General features: G+C 44.7%; 1 protein-coding gene across 2 annotated transcripts in view, besides 5 other annotated features; it reads right to left on the reverse strand.

Annotated features, from left to right (window-relative positions):
• The window catches only part of ZBTB5 (zinc finger and BTB domain containing 5), a 27,349-nt gene extending 8,590 nt beyond the window's left edge, over window positions 1-18,759 (reverse strand). Inside the window, exon 1 of one of the 2 annotated variants that reach the window (NM_014872.3) lies at window positions 18,524-18,759. The gene's annotated coding sequence lies outside the window, so the exon portion shown is untranslated. Of the gene's footprint in view, window positions 1-17,232 lie in introns of both variants that reach the window. The other variant, XM_005251634.3, reaches the window with a different exon arrangement.
• Window positions 17,681-18,366: an enhancer, noted in NCBI's record as "H3K27ac hESC enhancer chr9:37464369-37465054 (GRCh37/hg19 assembly coordinates)". NCBI's record gives its function as "activates a minimal SCP1, AML or CMV promoter by ChIP-STARR-seq in naive H9 embryonic stem cells {active_cell/tissue: H9 hESC(naive)}" and the evidence as "EXISTENCE:reporter gene assay evidence [ECO:0000049][PMID:30033119]".
• Window positions 18,367-19,052: an enhancer, noted in NCBI's record as "NANOG-H3K27ac hESC enhancer chr9:37465055-37465740 (GRCh37/hg19 assembly coordinates)". NCBI's record gives its function as "activates a minimal SCP1, AML or CMV promoter by ChIP-STARR-seq in naive H9 embryonic stem cells {active_cell/tissue: H9 hESC(naive)}" and the evidence as "EXISTENCE:reporter gene assay evidence [ECO:0000049][PMID:30033119]".
• Window positions 18,587-18,686: a silencer, noted in NCBI's record as "silent region_19905". NCBI's record gives its function as "represses an Ori minimal core promoter by ATAC-STARR-seq in GM12878 lymphoblastoid cells {active_cell/tissue: GM12878}" and the evidence as "EXISTENCE:reporter gene assay evidence [ECO:0000049][PMID:35858748]".
• Window positions 19,053-19,738: an enhancer, noted in NCBI's record as "NANOG-H3K27ac-H3K4me1 hESC enhancer chr9:37465741-37466426 (GRCh37/hg19 assembly coordinates)". NCBI's record gives its function as "activates a minimal SCP1, AML or CMV promoter by ChIP-STARR-seq in naive H9 embryonic stem cells {active_cell/tissue: H9 hESC(naive)}" and the evidence as "EXISTENCE:reporter gene assay evidence [ECO:0000049][PMID:30033119]".
• Window positions 19,739-20,424: an enhancer, noted in NCBI's record as "NANOG-H3K27ac-H3K4me1 hESC enhancer chr9:37466427-37467112 (GRCh37/hg19 assembly coordinates)". NCBI's record gives its function as "activates a minimal SCP1, AML or CMV promoter by ChIP-STARR-seq in naive H9 embryonic stem cells {active_cell/tissue: H9 hESC(naive)}" and the evidence as "EXISTENCE:reporter gene assay evidence [ECO:0000049][PMID:30033119]".

The raw sequence follows: 20,574 nt of genomic DNA on the forward strand, positions 1-20,574 counted from the left end.
ACACATCCCGGGTCCCCACCCGACTCACTCAGGGCCCACAGAGCTTAAGGCTTTGGGGAGATTAAACAAAATGCAATTACTGCTCATTAAGTCTATAGCCCTGCCTTAGAAAGTACACTCATATATGAATAAGTGCCAAGTTCCAGAGGGGTAATTATTTTGTAGCAGTAACAGGGAAGAAACATTCTGGTTTGAGGAATAAAATAAACAGGGAATTGTGGTGGGAAGTTGTACAAGACTCAGAGTTGCTCTTCTAAGCGACCATGGAAGCTTGGGCTCAACAGGCAAAAACAAGGAACACTAGACACTCAGCGTTACTGCTTTCTCTCCTACAGTGGGGAATAGACCCAGTGTATTAGTCTGTTTTCAACTGCTATAAAGAAATACCCAAGACTGGGTGATTTATAAAGGAAAGAGGTTTAATTGACTCACAGTTCTGCATGGCTAAGGTGGCCTCAGGAAACTTACAATCATGGTGGAAGGCAAAGGGAAAGCAAGGACCTTCTTCACATGGTGGCAGAAGAGTGTGAGTGTGTGAAGGAGAAACTGTCACTTATAAAACCACCAGATGTTGTGAGAACTCACTATCAGGAGAACAGCATGGGGGAAACCACCCCCAGGATCCAATCACCTCCTTCCCTTCATGTGGGGATTCAATTTGAGATGAGATTTGGGTTGGGACAGAGCCAAGCCATATCACCCAGCATTGTAGTAACAGTCTCACTGGTGACAGTAACAGAGGTAATGGTAGTGGTAATAAAATATATATTTTTTACTGTGCTTTTTTTTTGAGACAGGGTTTCACCCTGTTGCCCAGGCTAGAGTACAGTGGCATGATCATAGCTCACTGCAGCTTTGAACTCCTGGCTTCAAGCAATCCTCCTGCCAGCCTGGGATTACAGGTATAATAACAGTAATTACTGAGAGCCTGACAGTCATTATGCTAAGTACTTTTAATTTACATTATTTCTAATCTTCAAAACAACAGTGGCAGGTGGGAATTATTTTCCTGAGTTAATAGGTGAGGGGGGCCATAAAAGACTGACTTCACAAATAAATAGTATTTCAACTAGGCATACTGATTTAAAAGGGCACTAATATTCTGCTCAATGCTTCTTTTTTTTTTTTTTTAGATAAGCAAAAGAACTTATATGAGAAAAATGGCTTACTTAAAAATTACGGGGCTGGGCATGGTGGCTCATATCTGTAATTCCCAGTACTTTGGAAGGCCAAGATGGGAAGATTACCTGAGCCTAGGAGTTGGAGAACAGCCTAGGCAATATGGCAAGCCCTCATCTCTAAAATAAATAAATAAACAATTTTTTTAAATTGTGGTCCCAGAAACACCATTTTGAGGAAATTTTCCAAGAGCCAGGGGATCTTTGAAAAGAGGCTACTGAGGTAGCTAAACACAACCCCAACAAAGATAAAAGGTTTAAGTAATACTGGAAGACAGGCAAACAGTACCTACAATCTTTTAACTTCCCATCAGCCTAGAGATCCTCAGCTCTACACTAGATCCCCCATCACAGGCCTTGAGACCAACTCAAGTTCTCCACATTCCTCTCAAAACACTTTAGGGATGCTTGGAACTTCCTGTTATACCTTGTTGGCAGACCATCTTCAGGCAATACAGAGGCTAATGTCTGCATCATAACTATGATTCCACCTTGGGAAAGTGGGAATCACAATTTGCAGACTATCCAAATGTGAAGGGGGGAAGGGGTGCTCAGAAGATTCTGGGGAGCTGCAAATGACAGATGTCCACCTAGCATCCCTCTGACAAATAGGGCCCCTCTACATATTAATCCATGTGACTTTGGAAATGCATAGTTTTACTGAGTAAGAGGTGATCTTCCTGGAAATGAAAGAAAGAACCAAACAACAGAAGGCCAGATGAGTTGGTGTTACACTGTAACATCTTCAATTAGCAATTTATTAAGTCCTGATTACTCTGCCATGGACAGCTAAGGAAGTAGAGTAGATTTTCTTAAAAAAGGAACTCTAAAGAAATTAAAACAGAAAATTTAAAACTATTTGTCAACTTATTTAAAAATAGTAATAAACGATTACAGCCGGGCACAGTGGCTCACGCCTGTAATCCCAGCACTTTGGAAGGCCGAGGTGGGCAAACACGAGGTCAAGAGAGCGAGACCATCCTGGCCAACATGGTGAAACCCCGACTCTACTAAAAATACAAAAATTAGCTGGGCGTGGTGGCGTGTGCCTGTAGTCCCAGCTACTGGGGAGGCTGAGGCAGGAGAATCGCTTGAACCCAGAAGGCGGAGAGTGCAGTGAGCCAAGATCACGCCACTGTACTCCAGCCTGGTGACAGAGCGAGACTCCGTTTCAAAATAAATAAATAAATAATAAACAATTACATGTTAACATAACATTTTAATAAACAACTGGGCCGGGCACGGTGGCTTACACCTGTAAAACTAGCACCTTGGGAGGCCTAGGTGGGAGGATCAGTTGAGCCCAGGAGTTCAAGACCAGCCTGGGCAACGTAGTGAGATTCTATATAACAAAAAGAAAAAAGTTATTTAAAAAATAAATAAATAGTTTCCAAAAACATAAGAGGGGTATTGTTTTATATTTTGGCATTAAGAGAAGACAACTGGATTCTCATATTTGCTTCTGCATTCAGGCTTGTGGTATCACACATTGCACGGCCTACTCCATGCACTCCACTCTACATTCATGAAAGAATGAGTAAAAAAAGGCCTGGTGCGGTAGCTCATGCCTGTAATCTCAGCACTTTTGGAGGTCCAGGTGGGCAGATCACTTGAGGCCAGGAGTTTGCGACCAGCTTGGCCAACATGGTGAAACCCTGCCTCTACTAAAAATGCAAAAATTAGTCAGGTGTGGTGGCACATGCCTGTAGTCTCAGCTACTCGGGAGGCGAGGCATATGAGAATTGCTTGAACCCAGGAGGTGGAGGTTGCAGTGAGCCAAGACTGTACCACTGCACTCTAGTCTGCGCGATAGTATGAGACTCTCAAAAAAAAAAAAAAAAAAAAAGAATGAGTAAAAATGATACAGGAATTAAAGACAAATTAAGCAGATAGTGAGGGTAAGCCAGCCCTCGGTAAGGTTTTCCTTTTAATAAAAAGCAGCCCCAAGTGATTTTTCTTTCTAACAAAGAGCAGCCTGTAAAATCGAGCTGCAGACATAGATGCCAGCAGTGGTGCCAATCATGTTCAAAATGGTGGCTTCATCTTCCCTTCTCTTTTTCAGCAATGTGTACGGTAAGCAGCAGACAATGGGGCAGGCCAAGGGGAAAGCCCATTTGCATAATAAGATTAGGGTGGAATGGCCAGCCTTCCCCATGTGCTATATAAACGTCACACGTGATCAAACCAATCTGTGGGCCCTACGTAAATCAGACACCACCTCCTCAAGCCTGCCTATAAAATCTGGCAAATTCTGCCACCGGCTGGTCGTTTCCTTTCAGAAGCTCCTCTGTCTCACTAGAGAGAGAGCTGTTTTCCTTTCTCTTTGTTTCTTTCTTTGGCCTATTAAACCTCCATTCCTAAACTCGAGTGTGTCTGTGTCCCAAATTTTCTTGGCCCGAGACAACGAACCCCAGGTATTTACCCCAGACAACGAAGCTGCTTCAAAAAAAAAGCAAGTAAGTCTTTGTATCATTATAAAAAGTTCTGACCTCACAGACCCCTTGAAAAAGTCTGTGGGGCCCATACAGGTCACTGGACTATACTTTGCGAATTGCTGATCTAACAAAAATTTTAATTATATTTGGAAGATAGAAGAATGAGTAATATGCATTGAGCAAAACTGGCAGAATTACAAGGAGAAATTAACAAATTCATAAAGAACAGTATTACCTTTAACCAAGGAGATGTCAATAGATAATGCCTAAACTGAAATTAAGAATTAGCTCCTGCCAGGCACGGTGGCTCACACTTATAATCCCAGCACTTTGGGAGATCACCTGAGGTCAAGAGTTCAAGACCAGCCTGGCCAGCATGGTGAAACCCCGTCTCTACTAAAAATACAAAAATTAGCCAGGCTTGGTGGCACGTACCTGTAATCCCAGCTACTCAGGAGGCTGAGGCAGGAGAATCGCTTGAACCTGGGAGGCGGAGGTTGCAGTGAGCCGAGATCACACCACTGCACCCCAGCCTGGGCAACAGAGCAAAACTCCATCTCAAAAAAAAAAAAATGAATTAGCTCCAAGCATATTATTTAATATATACATGTAATTACCAAAAGAATTAGCTAAGAGTTGAAAATGGTAGTCTTGGAGAAGAGAAAATGGAAAACAGGAACCTGGGCAACATGGTGAGACCCCCGTCTCTACCAAAAATACAAAAAAATAGCCGGGTGTGGTGATGCACACCTATAGTACCAGCTACTCAAGAGACTGAGGTGGGAGGACAGCTTGAGCCTGCAGGGGTGGAGGGTGCAGTGAGCTGAGATCATACCACTGCACTCCAGCTTGGGTGACAGAGTGAGACCCTATCTCCAAAAAAAAATTTAAAAAGAAAAGAAAATGGAAAGCAGGGAAGGTAAGGCCTGGTGTTTGTCTTAAATCTTGTAGAACTACTGATTCGTTAAATGATGTTCACTGGCTAGGCACGGTGGCTCACGACTACAATCCCAGCATTTTGGGAGGCCGAGGTGGGTGGATCACTTGAGGCCAGGAGTTTGAGACCAGCCTGACCAACATGGCAAAACCCTGTCTCTACAAAAATTAGCTGGGTGTGGTGGCGCAGGCCTGTAATCCCAGTTATTTGGGAGGCTGAGGCACAACAATCGCTTGAACCTGGGAGATGGAGATTGCACTGAGCCAAGGTAGTGCCACTGCACTCCAGCCTGGGTGACAGAGTGAGACTATCTCAAAAAAAAAAAAAAAAAAAAAAGACAGACGTGCACTTAGCAAATTTACATATACACTTTTGGTAAGATGATAAATGTATAAAGAAAGCCTGAATAGACTATAACGACACACATACAATTAGAAAAAACTGTCATTATCACCCCCTAAAAAGCTTTTTATCCTTAAAAGAGTTTTTAAGGATAATTTGGTGGGTAGGGGGCCAGTGAGTTAGGAGTGCTGATTGGTTGGCTTAGGGATGAAATCTAGGGAGTCGAAGTTGTCCTCTTATGCTGAGTCAGTTCCTGGGTGGGGAATACAGAACTGGTTGGCAGGTCCAGGTGGGGCCATCCAGTTGTCAGAAATGCAAAAGCCTGAAAAGACATCTCAAAAGGCCGATCTGAGGTTCACAATAGTGATGTTACCTTCAAGAGTAATTGGGGAAGTTGCAACTCTTATGACCTACCTAATGATGGCTGGTAATATTTAGAATCCCAACCCCTCTCATTCTAACTTGGTGGCTGGTGGCCTTTCATTTGTTTTACAAGAACAGTTTAGCTTTAAACTGTAAACAAAATTCCTTCTCAAGGCTAGTTTGGCCTACGCACAGGAATGAACAAGAACAGTTTAGAGGTTAGAAGCAAGATGGGGTCGGTTAGGTCTGATATCTTTCGCTGTCATTAATTTTCTCAGTTGTGATTTTGCAAAGGCAGTTTCAATTGCACTGACTGAATTTTAAGATAAGCTATTTAAAATATCTAGTAACAGAAGCATAACTCACAGTAAAAATGGGGTCATGAGTTAAACCAAATGCAGCATGAGTTAAACCAAATACTAGCATCATTTTTGATATATGTTTTGGCCATCCCCAAAACCCAGAAGTCAATATTCCAAGAATTAGTTGGAAATAGCAGTGTATATCACTACTAATATGAAGCTCAAAAGTGATTCCAAAGACTATGAATACAAAGGAGGCTTAGATTCATACTGTTTTAATTAGGGTTCCCCAGAGGCAAATCATAAGAGAAAGATTCAAGTGCAAGTGATTTATCAAGAAGTTCCCAGGAGAAAATGGGAGTAAGGAGCAGGAGAAGGAAGCAGCAGCCAAGTAAAGGTATAATATGGGGCAAAATCCCAGCCTTAGTGTGTTCTAGCAGGGGTGCTCTGGAGTATAAACAATGCCTCTGAGTTTGAGCCACCTCAAGGCAAAGGTGCTGGTCTTTCATAGCCCTGCAGTCACTCAGTCAATGACTAAAAGCCTCCCTAGGGCAATGTAAACTGCCAGGCACTTCTGGTTCTCTGGGCCCATGCACAAAGTGATGCCAGTCACCCAAAGACAGTCCTCAAGAGTCACAGATGCAAGCTGTTAAGCACACAATAGCTATAGGATGGGTGCACAGAACCGGTAATAGGGATCAAGGGGATCTGGTCAGAGCTACACAGTATCTGCTACACACCTGGTGATACTAAAAAATAAAGTAACATGTAACCATATGGATAAACAGATGCTACTGTCTATTAGTAAGGAATATTCTTGTATATTTACATCATATAGGTTGCACTCTCAATCCCCTACCCCTGTCCCATAACCATTAGGTGAACAAGAAATCTCTATTCCTTCATTGGATTCTAAGATGCCACATGTCTGTCTGTCTGTCTCTCTCTCTCTTTAAATAGTGACAGGGTCTTGCTCTGTCATCCAGGCTGGAGTGCTGGCACAGTTATAGCTCACTACAGCCTTGAACTCCTGAGCTTAAGCAATCCTCCCACCTCAGCCTCCCGTTGGCTGGGATTACAGGCACAGACCACCACACGCAGCTTTTTTTTTTTGTAGAGACAAGGTTCCCTATGATGGCCAGGCTGGTCTTGAACTCCTGTGCTCAAGGGATCCTTCCGCCTCAGCCTTCCAAAGTGTTGGGATTACAGGTGTGAGCACCATGAAGTTTTCAGATCTGTTACACAGCACTAAGTAACTGTAACGGTGTGAAACTTTTTTACCATTTCCCCACAAATCAACATTCAAATACTATCTCCACCTTTTCGGGGAGAGGGGGTCCCTCTATGTCATTGGAGAAAATCACTTCCCACCCATTCTTAGTCCATGAGTCCATGTAGTACAGATCGAACTGCCCCAAACACCTGAGTTTACCAGGAGACGGAGGATCCAGGGAGACCCAGTCAACTTGGTACCCACTCTCCTTGATTACAGTGATTGTTTCAGACAATCACTTGGGTATGTGACCCAAGTTCTGCCAATGGAGTCTGCCTGTGGGCTTTTGCTGGTATATCAAGAAAGAGACTATCTCAACCCAGATTACAAACTGTGAGGGAGTTATAAATCCAGCACTGAGAGTGACCATTTTTGCCTGTTTGAGAACGAAGCCAACACAGAAGAGAGTGATACCAAAAACACTGTCCAGAAGGTATCAAGACTCTGGAATCCAGGTATGACTAAAGTTGGCACCACCCTAGGACTTGTTTCATGAGCCAGTGAACTCCCCTTTTACCTTAACCTGGTTTGTGTTGGATCTCTGCCACACAGTCAAACATGAAGTTCAAATTACATCTCCCAGGAAAACCTATATAATACAGCTATCTCAAAACCTTTAGAACTTTTTTGGATCTAGAGGGAATATTTTAAAAATTCAGTTCATTTGGGGGATATAAAATTTGCTATTATCTGCTCTGATGGAAGGGAATCATGAATCAAGATCATTCTTACTCAGAACTCTCAAGTAATTCTAGCAAAGTCAGAAGGCCAGTCTAAAAGCCTTAACAGAGCTCAGGCTGAGTAAATTAAGAGTTTTACCCAAAGCTGCCTGTCTGAAGCCTTCTAACCAAGGAAAAAGGCTTCAGGTCTCTTTAAAAGGCTCCAAAATGTGACAATATGAGTCAACATAGCTGGAGGAGAGTGTGGCAAGCAATCTACTGATGTATAACTGTGTCTAACCCAAAGCAAGTGTAAAGTTCAGTATTTGTTATCTGCAGGAACAAATATTTAGGAATTTCAAAACTAAATATAATTAAGAAAATACACTCTCATTACTGTCCATTACATTAACATGAATAATCAAAAGATGACTTTTCTCAATAGATTTACTTTTCTAATAATGCTTTACTTAGGCTAATAAAGTTCCTTTCTGTCTTCGGAGAACAAGCCAGCACATTTTAAACTATTTAATTTATACACTGATATACCCACATGCTTCTCAATAATATACTTCATTCATAACAAAAACCGCACCCATACTCAAACATCATCTACTACCATATCAAGTAATTTGCTGCTTGCCTGCCAGGCAGGATCCACACAGTTGTCACCTGCAGAAAGCAAATTAACATTCTAAGGAATCCTTAACATTCAGTAGCCCAATCTAGATAAAACCCTAGCAGATCCTACTTCTGTGTGGGCTCAGCAAAAACAAAAACCCTAGTGATATGGACAGGAGACAGGGAAATGCTGGGTAGAAGAAGGCAGTACCCCAGCTAAGGCCCCACCCTCAAGCCTGGAAACCTGTGGCCCTAAATGGGAACAGGCATCCCTGTTTTTGCACCCAAATGTTGCCTTTTGGCCTGCCACACCATGCTATCCTGTACACATATAAACCCCAAACCCCAGGTTCCACAGGCAGATGAGCAGACAAACAGAATGTGCAGAGGAGCATAAGAGCAGCGTGGCCAAGGAGAGAAGAGAAGGAGCATCTGAATGTCAAGAGCCATTCAGCTGGGGATGGTCAGAGAGATCGGCCACAGGACAGCCGAACTCCAGGGGAAGATCATCTTCCCACTCCATCCCCTTTCCAGCTCCCCATCCATCCCACTGAGAGCCACCTCCATCATCCAATAAAATCCCGAATACACCATCCTTCAAGTCCATGTGTGACCCAATTCTTCCTGGATGCTGGACAAGAACCCAAATACCAAGAAGGTACTGAGCTGGTTAACACTTAACCCATCTGCATATGGCAAGCTAAAAGAGCACTGTAGCATGCCCAATGGGGCTTCGGGAGCTGCAGGCACCCACCCCTAGATGCCACCGTGGGGCCAGAGCCTAAAAGAGCTTGCCCCAGCTCCTGCCCCTGCCTGTCTCTGTGCTCCTCCTCCTGTAAAGGGTTTTAGCAGTGGTGGCAGCCAAACAGACGAGCCACATCATTGTCACACGTCCTGCGAGGGGGGTTCAGAGAACTCTCCCATTTCATCAGCAGAAAAATAACTAGACAGAACATTTCCTCCACTTGTAGAGACGATATAGATGAAAACAAAAGTCAGAGAGCAGAACAAAGCAAGGACCCACTCAAGTAGGCTAGGATTTTTTTTTTTTAAATACAGGTGGGGTCTCAATATGCCCAGGCTGCTTTTGAACTCCAGCGCTCAAGCAATCCTCCTACCACAGGCTCCGGAAGTGCAGGCTAGGATTTTTTTTTTTTTCTTTTTTTGAGGCAGGATCTCACTCTCTCACTCAGGCTGGAGTACAGTGGCCTGATCACGGTTCACTGCAGCCTTGACCTCCCAGGCTCAAGGTGATCCTCCCACCTCAGCCTCCTGGGTAGCTGGGACTACAGGTGCGTGTCACCATGCCTGGCTAATTTTTGTATTTTTTGTAGATAGGGGGTTTTGCCATGTTGCCCAGGCTGGTTTCAAACTCCTGGGCTCAATCAATCCACCTGCCTCAGCCTCCCAAAGTGCTGGGATTACAGCCGTGAGCCACCCACCCACCTGGCCCAGGCTAGGAATTTTGACAGGGCTCCAAGTCAGACAGAGCGGAGTACTGGAACATCCATCCATTGTTCTAATTTGACCAGCAAAGTGGGAGTAGGGGAAGGCTGGAACTAGGTGGGCACAATGATGCCTGGGTTAACCCCAAGAAACCAGACCTGTCAGCATGACTAATGTCATAATATCTCTGGTTCTGCTCTGTCAGGGTTGGCTCAGAAACTGAACAGATTAGTTCTATAAAACAGGAAAATTCCACTAGTGACTAAAGATGAGCATGACTGAGGAAGGCGAGCTGGAAGCCCTGACCATCTCACCTAACTCTCCAATTCTCTCCACATTGCCACCTTGTTTTCCAGGCCAAAATCCCTAGGGATGAATTGACCTAGAGCTCTGTAACTCAGTTTGAATAAGAAAAGGTATTAGTGCCCTACTTAGGTTCCTAGTACAAGCTCAAATGCTTTTTCTACTAAAACAGCTTATTGAGGGCAGGAACTGTATTTTCTCTCTCTCAAAGTGCCTGACATAAAATACTCAGTAAATTATTTGCTGAATAAACTTTTGCTATATATGGATGAAGTATAATGTATTACCCAAAAATCACTTTTCTGAGAATCACAACTATCTCTAAAATCAGCCAAAAACCAGAAGAAAAAGTCTCAGAATATCCAAAATAAAGATCAAAGACTATGGATGAAAGATTTTCTCATAGGAAAGTCCCTTAAGCCCTCACACAGTCTTTTGTTCGAAACAAAATTCAAGTTTTTCTAGTTCCCTAACTAACTGAAGCAGCAACTCCAGAATGAGAGCAAGGAGTGGCTGCTTAAATGAAGTTAAGCTGATAGCTGCAGAAAGAGACAGCTGACCCACTAAGGGGGAAAAGAGGCCCAGCAGCTTGGAGCTAGGTAGTATACAGCTCAAGGGACCTCAACAGCCCATAAAGGTACTTGTGTATTTTTTGTATACAAGTTCATTCATGTAATATGTTTTTTGTTTTGTTTTGTTTTTGAGACAGAGTCTTGCTTTGCCACCCAGGCTGGAGTGTGGTGGTGCAATCACAGCTCACTGTAGCCTCCACTTCCCTAGCTCAAGTGACTCTCCCACCACAGCCTCCCAAATACTGGTACTACAGGCACGTCACCATGCCCAGCTAATTTTTTATTCTTTGTAGAGACGGGTCTCACTATGTTGCTCTGGCTGGTCTCGAACTCCTGGGCTCAGGTATTCCTCCTACCTTGGCCTCCCAAAGTGCTGAGATTACAAGTGTGAGCCACCATGCCAGCATCATCTAATGTTTTAAAGTGCTTACTTGTTCAAGGTTAAGCGCTGTGGAGCATAGATTTGTATGGGACAGTACTAACTGTCACAGGTATTTAGTGGAAATAAGATATACATGAATAACGATATTACAAAGTGGAAGGCACTAAGTGCCACATAAGAGGTGAAAGAACCTCTCAATGGTTTGGAGAAGGCAAAGGTTATTTCTAGCTTCATGGTAGCGTTGACAACAGAGCTAGGTCTTGGTTGGATTTGGACAAACCCCTAGACAGAGGTAAAGGTGGAGAAGGGGTTGAGGTGGGTAAAGCAATGTATTCGATTTGGCTGGAAAATAGTATGGCTAGAAAGGTAGGTATTGGATAGTGACTGCTCATAACTGATGTTAATAATTACAAGTCATCAGAAAGGTTAACCATGAGGCACATACTTTTGAACTAAAGGCTATCATCACTTTTGAGATTACTTTCTTAAAAAGTATTTTAGGGTTTTTTTCTTAAGTTTAAGCAGCACATCAGCCAGAGTCATTGGTTGCAGCAACAAAAATTGATCCTAAACATAAAAGTAATTTACTGAAAGGCTATTAGTTTGATCATGGAATTGATGGGAAGGCTGGATACGTAAGATTGAACTGGGAAGAAATTAAGCTAGGCAGCAGGAACAATCAGGTCAGAATGCCAAACATCTGTGCTGAACACAGCTACTACTAACCAAATGCTCACTCCAATGGAGACCCAGCCTCCCCTTCCCTACATCTGTTATTAAGTCTCAACTCTTGAGTACCTGTTTTCAATATGTGTGATAAAATGGGAAGTACACCTGAAGTTTTCCTCCTGCATTCTGAAATACAAGTTGCCTCAAGAAAAAGCACTTGTGCAGTTTTTGAGGTGGCTCAACTAATTGCTTTTCTCATGGGACACTATTTTTACTTGAAAGAACGAATGACAAACTATGGTTATTTAGAAGTATTTACCATTTTCTTGAAAATGAATGAAAAAATGAATGAAACAAGCCTGTTATTTTAAATAAGATAACTTAGTACTACTTATTGCCAATAAAAAAGTTTGAGAATTCAGGTGAAAATTAGTATTTTGGAAAACTTGTATCTGTCACTGTGAGCTTGACAGCTTCCCACATGCTCAAATTCTTCTGACAGATCATTGGTGATATTAATGAAATGTGATTTTTTTACATTGTATAATAAATGAGTCAACGTTTGGAAGATCTGCATAACTCTGAAATCAGTATTTTCCAAATGACCATGTAGCCATGTAACAATAATGCTATAAAACAAGGTATGGGTAAAAATTCATTCAAGGTACAAAACATAAGCTAATGTATTTTAATGCAACAGAATATGAAAAGTTCATTGACATAATTTCAGATTCCACATTGCACTAATCACTTAAGAAAATACCACTTGTGGAGTTTTGGTACAGTATCAGAGTAAGAATATCCAAAATTATCTGAAAAATCTACTGAAATAATCCTCCCTTTCCAACTACATATTTGTGTGATGCTGGAGTTTTTTGGTATATTTTAATCAAAATAGTGTATCACGGCAAAATGAATGCAGAAGCATTTAATGGAATCCAGCTGTCTTCTATTAAACTACATATTAAAGAGATTTACAAAAAATGTAAAACAGGGCATGGGCATGCCAGCCCCTGCTTCTCAGCCTGTACTCCCAGCACTTTGGGAGGCCAAGGCAGGTGGATCACCTGAGGTCAGGAGTTTGAGACCAGCCTGACCAACATGGAGAAAAGCCGTCTCTACTAAAAATACAAAAAATTGGTGGGGCGTGGTGACACATGCCTGTAATCCCAGCTACTCGGGAGGCTGAGGCAGAAGAATCGCTTGAACCTGGGAGGCAGAGGTTGCAGTGAGCCAAGATCGCACCACTGTACTCCAGTCTGGGCAACAAGAGCAAAACTCTATCTCAAAAAAAAAAAAAAGTTTTCTTTTCTTTCCAATCCCAACTGATGTGTAGCATAAACAACTTTTAAACATGTCTTTTACCCCTGACAGATCAAGAAACTTTTTTTTTTTTTTCAGGCAGAGTCTCACTCTGTTACCCAGGCTGGAGTGCAGTGGCACAATCTCAGCTCACTGCAACCTCCAGTTCAAGCAATCCTCCTGCCTCAGCCTCCCGAATAGCTGGGATTACAGGCGTGCACCACCATGCCCAGCTAATTTTTTTTTTTTTTTTTGAAATGAGTCTTGCTCTGTTGCCCAGGCTGGAGTGCAGTGGTGCGATCTCGGCTCACTGCAAGCTCTGCCTCCCGGGTTCATGCCATTCTCCTGCCTTAGCCTCCCAAGTAGCTGGGACTACGGGCGCCCGCCACCACACCTGGCTAATTTTTTGTATTTTTAGTAGAGACGGGGTTTCACCTTGTTAGTCAGGATGGTCTCGATCTCCTGACCTCATGATCTGTCCGTCTCGGCCTCCCAAAGTGCTGGGATTACAGGCGTGAGCCACTGCGCCAGGCCATTTTTTTTAATTTTTAGTAAAGACTGGGTTTCATCATATTAGCCAGGCTAGTCTCAAGCTACTGACCTTGTGATCTGCCTACCTCAGCCTCCCAAAATGCTGGGCCTGGCCAAGAAACTTCTTTCTTAATGAAAAAAATTAGTCCAGCTAGGCACAGTGGCTCACGCCTGTAATCCCAGCACTTTGGGAGGCCGAGGCGGGTGGATCAACTGAGGTCGGAAGTTCGAAACTAGCCTGACCAACATGGAGAAACCCTGTCTCTGCCAAAAATAAAAAATTAGCCGGGCATGGTGGTGCATGCCTGTAATCCCAGCTACTCGGGGGCTGAGGCAGGAGAATCGCTTGAACCCGGGAGGTGGAGGTTGCAGTGAGCCAAGATCGCGCCATTGCGCTGGATCCAGCCTGGGCAATAAGAGTGAACACTCCCCCCCCAAAAAAATTAGGCCAGATGCGGGGCTCACACCTGTAATCCCAGTACTTTGGGAGGCTGAAGCGGGAGGCTCATTTGAGACCTGCTTGGTTAACATAGCAAAACCTTTTCTCTACAAAAAAATTTTTTTTTAATTAGCTGGGTGCTGGGCATGGTGGCTCACGCCTATAATCTCAACATGTTGGGAGGCCAAGGTGGGAGAAATGCTTGAGTCCAGGAGTCTAAGACCAGCCTGGAAAACATAGGGAGACCCCCACCTCCACAAAAAATACAAAAATTAGCTGGGCGTGGTGGTGCATGCCTGTAGTCCCAGCTACTTGGGAGGCTGGGTGGGGGAGGGTTGCTTGAGCCCAGGAGTTTGGGGCTGCAGTGAGTTATGACCATCCCACTACACTCCAGCCCAGGTGACAGAGCAAGACCCTATCTCAAAAGCAAAACAGAACAAAGTAGAAAGAAAAAAAAAAACTAAACTTTTATCAAGATGAAAACTATGACAAAGCTTTGGAGACACTATTATTATGGTGCCTTTCCAACAGAGAAGATGAACATGGACTTAATCCATTTCTTACACCTAGTTTACTTTCAAAGCAGTATATGCCTTCACTTCTCAATCATTTATCAAATCAATAATGCTCAGCAAGTGACCTTCACTTGACCTGCAGAGTTGCTTTTGATCATCTATTCAAAATAAGTACAATCTAAGTAACTTAAATGTGTTTAGATTTTTGTAGCATTTCTGGGCTCCTCCCACAACCAAATGCCCAAACACTGGATTTTGTTTTCCTGGTCTTCCTTCCTCAAATCCTCTTCGCAAAAAAGACTAAACCATAAGGACTATAAAGGTGAAAGCCTTGTATTTTTAGAGGAAGATGGTTGAGTGGATTTTAAATTATAATTGACTAAGATGTACTGAAAAATTAATTATACCATGTCAACAATATCATGCATAGAAAAAAAGGGGAGCAACTCACCCTAAACATTTTAAACTTAAGAAAATGGCAATCAGCCAGGTGCAGTGGCTCTCATGCCTGTAATCACGCACTTTGGGAGGCCAAGGCAGTCGGATCACCTGAGGTCAGGAGTTCAAGACCAGCCTGGCCAACATGGCGAAACCCTGTCTCTACCAAAAAGTACAAAAATTAGTCGGGCATGGTGGCACGAGCTGTAGTCCCAGCTACTCAGGAGGCTGAGACACAAGAATCATTTGAACCCAGGAGGCGGAGGTTGCAGTGACCCGAGATCAGATTATGCCATTGCACTCAAGCCTGGGTGACAGAGTGAGACCCTGTCTCAAAAAAAAAAGTAAATTAGGAATAAAGGCATTTGTAAACCTGTTACCATACAAAGTAACAGATTACCAAGTATAATTTCCAAAAAGTAGACCTATCACTTAATCATCCTTTAAAATTTGTAAAATGAACATTTTATTTGTTAATTTCCATTTACATAAGGAAAAATATCACGCTCGATAGGCTTCTTTTCAGTAACAAACATTTTCCAGAGCAGGAAAACGAATTAGGAAAATTTATTGGTTACAATTACAAGGAATTAGTTGGGTACAAAAGTCTCTTTATGGGGGATAGGCAGCCAGGATTTTACTATGTTGCCTGGGCTGGTTTGAACTCAAGTGATCCTCCTGCCTCAGACTCCCAAGTAGTTGGGACTACAGGTGTGTGCCACCTGAGCTAAAATTCTATTAATTTTACCAAATTTCATTAAATCTAAGATGTCTGTGATTATAAAATGCATTATTTCATGTAACACTAGGAAAAAAACTGCCAATTAAGCTATGGCATAATGCTTACTTATGGTATCCTGTCTTCAAGGAAGGAAAACTGTCTGCCAATGACTACTATGATAGAGGCAGGAGACAGACAAATGCCTAGGCAGACAGGGGCACATCCCCAGTGAAACCCCACCTCCAAGCCGAAGACAGTTTAAAAGCTTGAAAGCCAAGCTACAAGTCAAATCCACGGACCAGATTGAGAACCTGTGTTCCCATTTGGCATGCTTTCCTCTGACTGATCCCCACCCTTCACCTATTTTACATATATCTACCCCTTTCCTAATTGGTTTTCTACACTGTCGTGCCCACCTTTGAGTGGTGTCTTTGCTTTAACCGTTTTTTTTTTTTTTTTGAGACAGGGTCTCACTCTGTCTCCAAGACTCCAAGTGTGCAGTGGCATGCTCTCAGCTCAATGCAACTTCTGCCTCCCAGGCTCAAGCGATTCTTCCGCCTCGGCCTCCTGAGTAGCTGGGATTACAGGCGCACGTCACCATGCCGGGTTAATTTTTGTATTTTTAGTAGAGACAGGGTTTCACCATGTTGGCCAGATTGGTCTTGAACTCCTGAGCTCAGGCAATCTGCCCGCCTCAGCCTCCCCAATTGCAGTAATTACAGGCGTGAGCCACCACACCCGGCCTTCCCTTTAAACTTTTTGCATCAGAAACCAATCAGCACACACTCCCCATTCTGAGTCCCTAAGAAGCCCCGGAACCAGCCACACTGGGAAAGAGACCACCCCCTGCATGCCCTCTTCTCTGAGAGCTGTTCCATCACTCAATAAAATTCTTCTCTGCCCTCCTCACCCTTCGAATTGTCAGAGTAACCTAATCTGTTTGGGATGTCAAGATAAATCAAAGCTTTTAGGAAATACATGTATAACTAATAAAATGAAAGGCACCTCTAAAACTGGATCTTGAAATTAAAAGCTACTATTCAGTGGTGAAAATGATGAGAACATATGCAAAGAGCAATAGTTCACTCAGAAACAGCTGGTCTTTTAGGAGATGAGAAGTTCACTTCATACTTAGACAAAAGGCATAGTGTAGTGCTACATTCCATCCCACCTGCTACACTAACAAAACTGGCTCTACTAGACAACATCCATATTTGAGAAATATTACGTACAGTAAAAGAAAAATCACACGCTTAAAACTGACAGAGGGGGAAAGTATTTAAAATTAATTTACATTAAAAAAAAAGTTGAAAGCTAACATAGAATCAATACCTTGGGTTCTTTTTTCCATTTCCAAAACGAATGTGAGCCAGATTCAAGATTCTCTGTCAGCACTACACCAGGTTTTGTCAATTTCACTGAACACAAGATATTTTAAAGTCTCCAATTCGATATAATTCATGCTGAGTTCTTTAAGTACTATTTGATATCCCAGTGATTTTTTATTACTTCCACTTTGGGGACAGTCTTGTGAGTCTCTTTTGAGAGCGTTCGCTCCTAAGTCTGTAAGATGCCTTTCCTCCAAATCTTACCATTTTCAGAATTCTGCTAGAGACATATCAATTAACCAAAATCCAGCTTGCCAGCATCCTCAGCTAACTAAAAGTTATGTTTTGACACAACTTTTAGGGAAAAGGGGCAAATCTCTAGTAAACGAGTTGACTTCAGGACTCTTCAAAAAAAGAGTCTGTTTATTCAGCAAAACCCAAGGGCCCAAAACAGGTCCCCACCCAAGTAGTCTTACCTGTAAGGTCACCAAGCTGGCTGTGGTGGCCAGGTCAATCTTCCCAAATTTGATGAGATTTCCATAAGGGTTAAAAGGAAGAGTGAACGGTTTCCTTTGGCTTAGGGGCTTTTCTCTAAAATTCCTTGTCTTCTTCCCATCTGGACTTTTCCCTCTGAACTATTAGCTTACTGCCAACCACCGTCCCCACAGAAATCACAAGAGTTTAGGCAAATGAAAAGCAAGTTCTGCCCAGCCTTTTACATCTAAGCACAACAGCCCATACTAGGACAACAAATTACCAATGACTTAATGACTAAGGCACAGCATTCTCTTCAACCTCTAAAGAAAAGCCCGTAATGTCCTCTACTTAATACAAGTGAAAAATATGAGAACATGTTTTGGAATATTTTTGCTTCAATTTTTGAAGGTGAAGAGTTCCTTCTATTAATTCAAGTTAACTAGAGTCAGAAGATACTACTTAGTAATCAACTTTACTGTGCTTTCACCTAAAATTTTTCCTCCAAATTATTTAGGATTTGCCTTCTGTTCAGAAAATTAGTTTCCACAATATCCTTCACTATGCCAGAATGCTGACTGACTTAAAAAAAAATGACCATTATGAAAGGAAAAAACTAACCTTCAACACCCCTTAATTCACTGCCTTTTATTATTTACATACAAATCTGTCCTCCAAACAGGAGAAGATGGGACGGCAGTGTCTTACCACCGCATCCCCCACAGCTCCTCGCACGAAGCCTGGGAGTAGTGGGCATTCAATAAATGCCTATTAAACACTTCAGTCCTCTCATAACAAGTTGGGGCATTCCGAAACACTGGCTCCACCCCTCCAGGGTCGGCCGCTGGCTCCCGATGGCAGTCTGCCTATGGCCTTGCTCTGGTGAAATGAAACCTCGTCGCTCAAGACCCAGGATGGGGGCAAGGGAGCCGTCCGACCACATCCCGCAGGGCAGCAGATCCTCTCTTCATCCCGCCAGGCCGCTGGTCCTGAGGCCTTTCCCACCCCATTCGGGAACCTACGTCGCCAGCCGGGGATCCACAGGAGTACCAGCCCCCGCCCCACCCCGCAGACAGCCTGGCGTCGGGACACCGGGGACGCCTGCGCAGAAGAACCCGCCTGGCCCCTTGGCTCCAACGGTAACAATGCTCCCCTCCGAAAGACAGCCAGAGTAGTCCGGGGGCACCAGTACACGTCTGCGCGCTCCCCGACGCCTTGGCGCGCCCCTGGTGCTCAACCTTCCCCACGTGAGCGCGCCCGCCATCACGATACTCGCTGACGGGGTCTCCTCACCTGAGTCGGGCTCCGCCCCCCTCCTCCTCGCTGAAGGAGGCGGTGACCCCTCTCCGATCGGACTCGGCAGTGTCAGAGGAGGTGGGAACGTCCTGACCAGCGTCTCCGTTACGGGACTTCCTCCCCCTTCCACCCGCCCCCCTCCCACCCCGCCTCTAGTCCCCTAGCTCCTCCAGCCAGTTCGCCGCAGCACTCTGAGAACACGGCGGCGGCGCCCGAGGATAAGCGGAAGTGACGTAATGCAAGAGCGCCTACTCCGCCCCATTCCGCCTCTCCCAGTTGGGCTGCAACCAATCAGCAATGGGAAGGGCGGGGCCGGGGTAGGAGTGCAGCCAGCCGGCGCGCGGAACCTGGAGGAATTTACTTAGCCCCCGGAAAAACTGACCAATCCACGGTCCCTGAAGTCTGGTTGTGTTTACTACCGACTGAATCCGTGAGCTCTCTGACCAATCACCCTTTGCCTTACAACATGTAAAACGGTTATCAAATGCCTTTTAGGGCGGGATTTATCACTAAACTGCTCCAGGTTTGGACTATAGAAATGCGGCTGTTCGCTGCAACCAATCAAAACCCTCTGTGGTTTAGGCTAGCGGGCTTTCCGCCTAAATCCGCCAATCACAACAACGACTGCGTGATGTCTGAGGGCGCCGGAGAGGCGGGCCCTCAGGGCAGGCCGTACCGCCATTGGCTGGTTCTGAAGGATTTTTCCACCCTCGTGGTGCCCGGCGCTTTAGTGACCCAGGGCTCTTCTCCGGGGTGAATTCCCTTCGCTGAACACACACACACACACACACGTAGAGGGCTGGAGATTGAGTTCCCACTTCATAGACGTTGGGAAAGATAAGATTCCAAAAAGCTCTTTAGGTTTAACTAAGCCAAAGTCCAGGGTGAAAACCGCGAATAAAAAACGCTGTCCATCGGATGGCAGTTAGGTCGGACCCCGCCCCTCGTCCAGTCCGGGTGGCTGCGCGTCTGGAAACGGTGGCGCCCCAGGAGCCCGGCGCTTGGCCCCGCACTCGGCTGCAGGTCAAATAAGCCTGTAGTCTGCATGCCCAGATTTATAATCACCTGCACTCCCCCCACAAAAAAATAGGAAGCGCTAAGCTCTCCCACTCCTGTCCCAAACGTGGAAGGGTCGCGGACTTGTATGGGACGCGGTCTGAAAAAAGCGAGCCCCGGGGCGACGCTCGGGTTTCCAGGTGCACCCTCGGAGGGAGAACCCGATCCCTGAGCATCGGACACTGGGGCCAGGGAAGAAACCCCCTTTCCTAGGGTGAGGACGGCAGAAGAAAGCTGCCTTCTCCGGCGCAGCGTGTCTGGGAGCGCTGCGTGGCTCTGGAGACAAAGGCAGGCCCGCGAACTCAGCTGGGTTCTTCTGGGGGTGGGGGTAAGGGTCTTGGAGGAGCTCCCAGAAAAATGGAACTCCCAGCCGGGCGCGATGGCTCACGCCTATAATCGCAGCAATTGGGAAGGCTGAGGCGGGCAGATCGCCCGAGATCAGGAGTTCGAGACCAGCCTGGCCAACATGGTGAAACCCTGTCTCTACTAAAAGTACAAAAATTAGCCGGGCGTGGTGGTGGGCGCCCGTAATCCCAGGCAACTACTCGGGAGGCTGAGGCAGGAGAATCGCTTGAACCCGGGAGGCGGAGGTTGCAGTGAGCTGAGATCGTGCCGCTGCACTCCAGCCTAGGCAACAGAGTGAGATTTCGTCTGGGGGGAAAAAAAAGGAACTCCCCGCTTTAAGAATGGAACACACCGAATACCCCTACAGCAGATTCCATCCCTTCAGTTACTGGTCGGAAGTGTTGATTTCAAAAAGCAACCTGTTTGCGTGGATTTCTTTAAGGGCTCGGTGGAGTCTGATGTTTAATTCTTTTCCTTAAGATTCGCTGACACTATAGCCATCACACATATTTTACTGACAGATTGATCGGTAAAATAAGGAAAATATGGAATGATGACAGTAAGCCAGGCAATAGGAGAGATTCTTTTGCGTATCTGTCTCTCAACGGTAAATGCCATGACCTAGATTGCCTCAGATTTACAGGCTG

This window comes from Homo sapiens, chromosome 9 (assembly GCF_000001405.40).
Source record: "Homo sapiens chromosome 9, GRCh38.p14 Primary Assembly".
In the NCBI taxonomy this organism is placed as follows: Eukaryota; Metazoa; Chordata; class Mammalia; order Primates; family Hominidae; genus Homo; species Homo sapiens.